Source organism: Homo sapiens, chromosome 2, assembly GCF_000001405.40.
Source record: "Homo sapiens chromosome 2, GRCh38.p14 Primary Assembly".
Lineage (NCBI taxonomy): Eukaryota > Metazoa > Chordata > Mammalia > Primates > Hominidae > Homo > Homo sapiens.
Genome location: NC_000002.12, coordinates 27244986 through 27253551, shown reverse-complemented (window position 1 = coordinate 27253551; position 8566 = coordinate 27244986). Strand labels below are relative to the sequence as shown.

Here is an 8566-nt window from a genome sequence, read left to right as displayed (position 1 = left end):
TGTCTCTACAAAAAAAATTAAAAATAAAAATAAATTAGCTACGTGTGGTGGTGTATGTCTGTGGTTCCAGCTACTCAGGAGGCTGAGGTGGGAGGATCACTTGAGCCCAGGAGGTTGAGGCTGCAATGAACTATGATCATGCAACTGCACTCCAGCCTGAGCGACAGAGCAAGACTCCATCAAAAAAAAAAAAAAAGAAAAAAAAAGAAAAATCAGCTAGGCAAGATGGCTCACGCCTGTAATTCCAGCACTTTGGGAGGCTGAGGCAGGCAGATCACTTGACCCCAGGAGTTCAAGATCAGCCTGGGCAACATGGTGAAACCCTGTCTGTACAAGAAATACAAAAATTAGCTGGGCATGGTAGTGTGTACCTGTAGTCCCAGTTACTTGAGAGGCTAAGTGGGGAGAATCACTTGAGCCCAGGTTGTCGAGGCTGCAGTGAGCCATGATTGTGCCACTGCACTCCAGTCTGGGCAACACAGTGAGACTGTGTCTCAAACATGGTCAAACCCTGTCTCTACTAAAAAATACAAAAATTTGGCCGGGCACAGTGGTTCATGCCTGTAATCCCAGCACTTCAGGAGGCCGAGGTGGGTGGATCACCTGAGGTCAGGAGTTCGAGACCAGCCTGACCAACATGGAGAAACCCCGTCTCTACTAAAAATACAAGAATTAGCCAGTGTGGTGGCGCATGCCTGTAATCCCAGCTACTCAGGAGGCTGAGGCGGAAGAATTGCTTGAACCCAGGAGGCAGAGGTTGCGGTGAGCCGAGATTGCATCAGTGCACTCCAGCCTGGGCAACAAGAGTGAAACTCTGTCTCAAAAAAAAAAAAATTAGCTGGGCATGGTGGTGGGCACCTGTAATCCTGGCTACTCGGGAGGTTGAGGCAGGGAGAATCGCTTGAACCCGGAAGGCAGAGGTTGCAGTGAGCTGAGATTGCGCCACTGCACTCCAGCCTGGGCGACAGAGGGAGACTCTGTCTTAAAAAAAAAAAAAAAAATTAGACTCTGTGCTTTGATTTTAGATCTAGTGCTTCAGGCCTTCCCACCATGTTGATAAAATCCCAGCCCAAAGCAAGGACGTTGAGCATTTTCAATAGCCCATGCATATTTCTGTGAGCCTTCCTCATAATAGAAATATCTTTATTATCAGATTATTTTTACTATAAAAGCAATATATACTTGTTTTAAGGGTACAACAAAGGAAAAGTATATAAAGTAGAAAGTGAATGTTTCCCCTGTAATCTTACTTTCCGAGAAAACTGCTAATCCTAGTATGGGGTCAGTATTTCTACATAATAACAAAAATGGGGTCATCTTATAGGTGAGATCGTGTTACCTGTGTTTATGACTCAACCATGCAGCCTAGACTCATCTTTCCATGTCAAGACCATAGATTTCATTCCTTTTTAAAGGTGAGGCTTTTGGACTCATCAGAGGTAGCCCCCTCCCTGATGTCCAGCTGGGAGCCTTAGCCCAGGCTGGGTGAGACGCCACTGCCCACGTCAGGGTGTGGGAGGCTGGCGAAGCGAAGGGCTGGCAGTCCATCACGCCCGGCGGCAAGGCCGCCCCAGCTGCTCGCCATGCTTTGCTGGTTCCTGATACTTTCTCATTTTACGTCTCATTGATTATAGGCCCCAGGTGACAGGATGGGGGTGGGGAAGAGTGAGGAAATCGAGGAGAGGGAAGGAGGGTGGGGAACAGGAGGACTCGATTTTCACCCTATGAAATGCTTTAAGCCACAGCCTGTCCTATCTGTGCGATGCTGGGTCCCTTTGCAGGGGAATGCTCAGGGCAGGTGAATGCCTTCACCAAGCATCCAGTCCATCTTCTGCCCATAGAAGGAGGAGACTCAGGGAGGGAAAAAGACTTCCCCAGGGTCAGCCAGCACATGCCCAGGCTCTCATTCCCACTCCAGGCCCCTTTGAAGCTCTTGCCTAGTTGAGTTTCTCAGCAAATCTTTCCTCAGCCCTTCCAGCAGCCTGCTGCCGCTGGCACTCCCGTCCTGGGGCTCTGGGGTCAGACCCTCTGGTTCTGCTCTGCCTTTACTATTATTCTAGTCACAGTTAACCTCTCTGCGTCTCAGCTTTCTCAATTATAAAATAGTGATTACGTGATATCATGGGTGTGAATGTGCCTGGTATATAGAAGGTGTATATAAGAGTTAGCTTTTGGGTTGAACCCAGGATGCAGGGGAGAGATTTCAGGAGAAGAGAGTGGCCCGGCACCCTGACAGCAGGGACAGGAAGCAGCAATCATTGAGCTTATTTTGTGCAAGGCACTGTGGTGCGGACAGTATCCTGTGCACCTGACAGATGGAGAAGCAGGCTCACCTGCCCATGGTCGTGCAGCTGGTTCCACTCGGTTCTGAGTTCTGGCCCCTGGACGTCCCCAGCCCTCTCTCTATGCCATCCTGCCTTTCCACTCACCTTCGGGCATCGGGAGGATGAGGAGACAGGTCTCTGGAGCATTCTCCCACCTTCACACTGGGCCACCATCCCCGGGAGCCCAGGAAATCCTTATCTGCAGAGCTGCCTGCACTCCCCCATTATCCTCCTATCCTCCTTCTCCACTCGCTTATCCAGAAGTCCCTTTCCCCTGGGTGCCCTTCCTTGATGATAGATGGAGGAGGGAGAGTCGAGGGGAAGGGACTGGGCCTGGGAGGGGTGAGGGGAAGGCAGGGGAGAGCAACGCAGGTGGGGGAGGGCCCATCCCTCAGCCCAGCCCCAGCTCTTTACACAGCTGATTAACTAGGGGAGGGGTGGGCTTTCGGGTCAGAGAGGAACCAGAGAAGAGGGACAGCCAGGAAAGGGGTGAAATGGAGAGTGGAGGGAGAGAGAGGCAGGCCGGGTTTCCCTGCTGAGAGCTGCAGGGCTATTCAAAGGAGAAACTGGAGATCAAAGGGCCAGAATGCAGGGTGCGGACCTGAGAGGCTTCGTGCTGCAGTGACTGGGCGGAGGAGCATGGGCACATGGGCAGGTCCTGCCCTTCTCCCAAGGCTGCCCACCTGGGGGTGGCCCAGGGTGAGTCCTGCACCACGTTTAAGAGGCGAAGGCCAAGGCCCAGGGCCCAGCCGGCAGGGTCAAGAGGAAGCCCGGGTGATAAGCACCACCCTCCAGCAGCCCTCCCGCCCGGTCAGGGCCCCGGTGCAGCCGGCTTAAAGGAGGCATTTGGCCCTCCCGCTTCCTAGAGCCCGGCTGGCTGGGGAGCAGCGCCCCCAACTGGGGCATACGCCACCGCAGCGGCAGAGGCAGCCGGAAGTCTTTGCAGGGAGTCTCAGGACTGGGGTCAGGACGGGAAGACCCTTTTCCCCTCCGCCAGGCAGAGACCCTCACTGTGGAGAACTGTAGTCAGGGTGTTCCTTTTATAGTTGGAGTACTCTTTCTTAACTCTCCAACCTCCCTTCCCCCAACTCTGGCAGTTCCCAGGGCCTCCCTGTCCCTGGCTTAAGTCCCAGGGACACCTCGTCAGTACCTGGTCAGTACCTTCCAAGGGGTGCTTGGAGGGGCAGTTCCCAGGCCCCAACAGGGCAAAGCCTGAGGCCCCAGATGCAGCTGTGTGGGGGCTTTTTCCTTTTTTGAGATGGGGTCTTGCTATGCTGCCCAGGCTAGCCTCAAACTCCTGGGCTCAAGCAATCCTCCTGCCTCGGCTTCCTGAGCAGCTGGGACTCCACGTGTATACCACCACACCCCCAGATGCAGCTGTGATCACCAGCAATCCCATACACAAAGCAGGCCCCGTTTCCTTAACTGGCAAGAGAAAGAACGTGGGGAGAGTGGGTAGGCAGGAAGGCCCGGGTTGCCAGAGCCTGTGCCTCCCTCCTTCAGCCCTGGTCCTAGCCTTTCTCTGCTCTTGCCATTCCCCGTGTGGTACCCCAGACCCCCTCATCTGCTCTCTGGCTACAGCATCCTGGGGACAGGAAGAAGCCCAGACCTGGAGAAGCTCACTCAGAGGACACGACCCAAACAGCCTTAACCTCCGATTCCATTCTTTTGTTTGCTTTGGCTCAACAACGATGGCTATAAATTTTTAAAGGACTGTAGCCAAAAGCCTGGGGAGAAATAGAAGGGAACTGAACCCAGAATATTAAAAAGATAAGAAAGCTTACCAAAATAAGCAGGGTTCAGACCCTACAACAACAAACTTGCTTTTTCCTGACCACGGAGTCTGCCCAAGCATGGCCTCCCTGCTTTCCCCCATCCTGCTGGACCAGGACGTGGTCACACAGGACTGCTGGGAGACACAGTAAAACGGTGAGTGGCCTACTGACGGCACACTCCTTGAAGGAAGGCATGCTCCCCCAGCACTTAGCTCACAGCCAGACACCAAGTACATGCTCAGTATGACTGCTGGTGATGGAAGGAATGGGTGGAAGGATGGTGAACAGATAAATGTCAGGCCAATGCAAAGTCCATAAAATATCTTCTAATCCCCAGCTCCTACCAATGGGCCAACAAGCAGGTTTCATACATGCTGATTCCCGAGGTATAAATCTGTATCTGATGGTAGCATTTGATGGTAGCAATTCAGGTGCTCTCAAGCAGGCAGTCACTTCTATTTCTTTTCTTTTTTTTTTTTTTTTGAGATGGAGTCTCGCTCTGTCGCCCAGGCTGGCGTGCAGTGGCGTGATCTTGGCTCACTGCAAGCTCCGCCTCCCGGATTCACACCATTCTCCTGCCTCAGCCTCCCGAGTAGCTGGGACTACAGGTGCCTGCCACCACACCCGGCTAATTTTTTTTGCATTTTTAGTAGAGATGGGGTTTCACTGTGTTAGCCAGGATGGTCTCGATCTCCTGACCTCGTGATCCGCCCGTCTCGGCCTCCCAAAGTGCTGGGATTACAGGCGTGAGCCACCGCGCCCGGCCAGCTCATTTCTATTTCTTGGGTCCTCCAGGGAGTGCAAGCCCTTCTACGCCCCTGCCCTGGACATGGCTTCCCCCAGCCCCACCACAAATTCAGTGTTTAGCTTCCCCTTGAGTCCTGCTTGTGACTCTATTAATCTCCTGCGGATTCATCACAGCTTCCCTGACCTTCTCTAAAGCCTTTGAGCTCCCAATCTCAACACCCATTTTTTTCCTTGCCACTTGGTAAATGACCTCAGCTTCTAAACCAGTCCCTCAGTAACCTCGTGAAACCTGGTTACCACCACAAAGCATCAGCCTAACAACTATTGTGACAAGGTCCTTGCCTCAAATTTCCTTCTCTTTGGCCTGCTACAGGATTTGAATCTGCCAATACGTCTCCCGTCCCTCACACACTTGGAATTCTGGGCCTCTTGAGGGCTTTCTCCTGAGTTCTCCTGCGGCCCTTGCTGAAATTGAGGCTTGCCGCTATTCTCTTGGTGAACAAATATGCATATTTTAAAAGCTTCAATTACCTTTATGTTGATGCTTCGGTCAACACATTTACTGAGCACCTACTATGTGCTCAACCCTGTTCTGGTGTTTGGGATACATCAGTGAGTAAAGTCCCTGCTCTCATGGCACTTGTGTTGTCACATATAAATGCCACCTGTCTCTATTGTGCTTGCTCCAACTCCCCAGCTCCATTACCTCCATGACATCTCCATATAGATGGCCCACGGCAGCTAGGTATCATGCCCAAATGGAATCAGCCCTCCCCTACCCCAAACTGGCTATCTGGTCTACCTTCATCAGTCTTCTTTCTTCCAGTCTTGAGGTCCCACACTGTGCAGTCATTCTTCACTCTCCTCTCTCCTCAGTGTTATAACATCTATTCCTATCTCTGAATCTAGAACCTCTTCACCCATGATCTGTATTTACTGCAACAACTTCCTAATTGGCGTCCTGATGGTGAAATGGCTCCTTTCTCTCTTCTAGGCACTGTTGCCAGACGAGTCTTCCATTAAGCACTCATCCCATCCTGGCCCTCATTCTCTGCTCCTCACCTCCACCAGCCAATGCCCCCTCATTGTCCCAGGGGATATTACTGCAGAACTACAGACACTTTGCAATTTTACACTGGGAATTGCCAACTACCCTTTTAAAGCCTATAGGTGGGTTGGGCATGGTGGCTCATGGCTGTAATCCCAGCACTTTAGGAGGCTGATGCAGGAGGATCACTTGAGCCCAGGAATAGACCAGCCTGGCCGGGCGCGGTGGCTCATGCTTGTAATCCCAGCACTTTGGGAGGCTGAGGCGGGCGGATCACGAGGTCAGGAGATCGAGACCACGGTGAAACCCCATCTCTACTAAAAATACAAAAAATTAGCCGGGCGTGGTGGCAGGTGCCTGTAGTCCCAGCTACTCGGAGAGGCTGAGGCAGGAGAATGGCGTGAACCCGGGAGGCGGAGCTTGCGGTGAGCCAAGATCGCGCCACTGCACTCCAGCCTGGGCAACAGAGCAAGACTCCGTCTCAAAAAAAAAAAAAAAAAAAAAAAAAGTAATAGGCCAGCCTGGGCAACATGGCGAATCCCCATCTCTATAAAACAAAACAAGAACAAAAATTAGCCAGGTGTGGTGGCATGTGCCTGTGGTCCCAGCTATTCTGGAGGCTGAGTGGGGAGGATAACTTGACTCCAGGAGTTTGAGACCAGCCTGGACGACATGGCAAAACCCCATCTCTACAAAAAAAACACAAAAAATTAGCCGGGCATGGTGGTATGGCCATGGTGGTCCCACCTCCTTGGGAGGCTTAAGTGGGAGGATCACTTGAGCCCATGAGGTCAAGGCTGCAGTGAGCTGAGATCGTGCCACTGCACTCCAGCCTGGGTGACAGAATGAGACCCTGTCTCAAAAACAAAATTTTAGTATAAAAAATAAAAGCCCACAGGCATACTGACTTGCCATGGTTGCAGGTAGTTAGTTGTAAGGGCCAGGACTAGAGTGCAGCTGACAAAGCTCCCGGTGGACTACCTATGTTGAGGGGGATGTCTCCTTCACTAGGGTGGACAGTGAAGAGGTGGGAGAAAATGGCTGTAATAGCAACCCAACGTTAGCCACACTTCTTTCAAGGTGGGGGATAGTCAAAGGATTCATCCAAGTGTCAAAGGGATGTATCTGTAAAGCGCTTAGAACAGTGCTTGGCATATAAATGTTTCTTATAGAAGAAATAGATCAAACCTCTTAAGTACCTCAGGAAGCAAACTAACTTTTTATGCTTCATGACAATTACATGGCAGATATGAAGTTGTTTCTCAGTGGATGTGGAACAGGCCCAAAGGTATTGTATTAAAGGGCTAATTTTGGCTGGGTGCGGTGGCTCATGCCTGTAATCCTAGCACTTTGGGAGGCTGAGGCGGGCAGATCACTTGAAGTCAGGAGTTCAACACCAGCCTAGCCAACATGGCAAAACCCCATCTCTACTAAAAATACAAAAAGTTAGCTGGGTGTGGTAGCACATGTCTGTAGTCCCAGTTACTCGGGAGACTGAGGCAGGAGAATCACTTGAACCTGGGAGGCGGAGGTTGCAGTGAGCCAAGATTGCACCACTGCACTCCAGCCTGGGCAACAGAGCGAGATGCCATCTCAAAACGATAAAAATTTTAAAAAATAAAGGGCTAATTTTGGTTTTTGCTGGTAAGTTTTTTCATTTTGTTTCCCAATATAATGAGATTTACTTTCTGGTCATACGGGAAAAAACTTTATTCAACTCAGAGCTGAGCTATGATTAGGAGAGCCAAAGAAAGGCTCAGGACAGGAACATCTCCCACCACTTAGCAACTAAGTAAAATGCGTCCGCTACTTGGCAGAAAACACTGCTTCTACTTGAGGGTGAGGCTATCCAAGTTCTGTGGGAATCTGTGTGCGAGTCCCAAGTACTCATGAGTACAATTGGGAAAATAATCTCTGACTTGTTCTAAGAGTTTAAGCAAGGAAATGGAGTCTCTAGAAAGAAAAAGAAGAGTTCTGGAAATGGTACTCTATTTTCCAACCAATAAAGTCCTCCAGGTACCTGAGGGAGACCTTGTCAGGCAGGAATCTGGGTTTGGAAAGACTGGAAAGGGTTAACATTAGCAGGACTGGAGGCCTCCACACTCTAGGACTTAGCATTATACTTAATACCCTCCTTCAAATAGTACCTGTGGTTGTAAATTAATATTTTTGTTGGAATTGACATCCAAGCCCCCTGTTCTGGTCCGTCAGACTCTCAACCCTCACAATACTCAGTAGGAATCTCCTGCTGCGTTCAGTGTCTCCTCACTGTACCGCAGACACAATTTCCATTCCTCTCGAACTGTACTGTAAAGGAGACTCTTCGTCCTTCCTCACGACACAGCTCACACCCCACGGCACAGGGTTCTCCGACTCCGTATCTGTGCTGACCTCTTCTGGAAACTGGTTCCCTACAGGACTGCTTAGATTTGTGGCTTGTCTTTCCCACTGGTTTTTGGATGCCCTTAAAGCCAGAAATGACCTTTCCTTTTAACAGAAAGGTGGGTTGTTAAGTCAAGAAGTCCTGCGTATGAGTCTCAAGGTGAGTGGCCCAGCAAGCTACCACCTTTTTTTTTTTTTTTGGAGATAAGAGTGTCACTGTTGCCCAGGCTGGAGTGTAATGGTGCCATCTTGCCTCACTGCAACCTCCACCTCCTGGGTTCAAGCGATTC

General features: G+C 50.8%; 3 annotated features.

The window, feature by feature from the left end:
- Nucleotides 2506–3299: an enhancer, noted in NCBI's record as "H3K4me1 hESC enhancer chr2:27473121-27473914 (GRCh37/hg19 assembly coordinates)". NCBI's record gives its function as "activates a minimal SCP1, AML or CMV promoter by ChIP-STARR-seq in naive H9 embryonic stem cells {active_cell/tissue: H9 hESC(naive)}" and the evidence as "EXISTENCE:reporter gene assay evidence [ECO:0000049][PMID:30033119]".
- Nucleotides 3300–4094: an enhancer, noted in NCBI's record as "H3K4me1 hESC enhancer chr2:27472326-27473120 (GRCh37/hg19 assembly coordinates)". NCBI's record gives its function as "activates a minimal SCP1, AML or CMV promoter by ChIP-STARR-seq in naive H9 embryonic stem cells {active_cell/tissue: H9 hESC(naive)}" and the evidence as "EXISTENCE:reporter gene assay evidence [ECO:0000049][PMID:30033119]".
- Nucleotides 3490–3670: a silencer, noted in NCBI's record as "fragment chr2:27472750-27472930 (GRCh37/hg19 assembly coordinates)". NCBI's record gives its function as "represses an EF-1alpha promoter that drives an FKBP-Casp9 reporter gene in an ReSE screen in K562 erythroleukemia cells {active_cell/tissue: K562}" and the evidence as "EXISTENCE:reporter gene assay evidence [ECO:0000049][PMID:32094911]".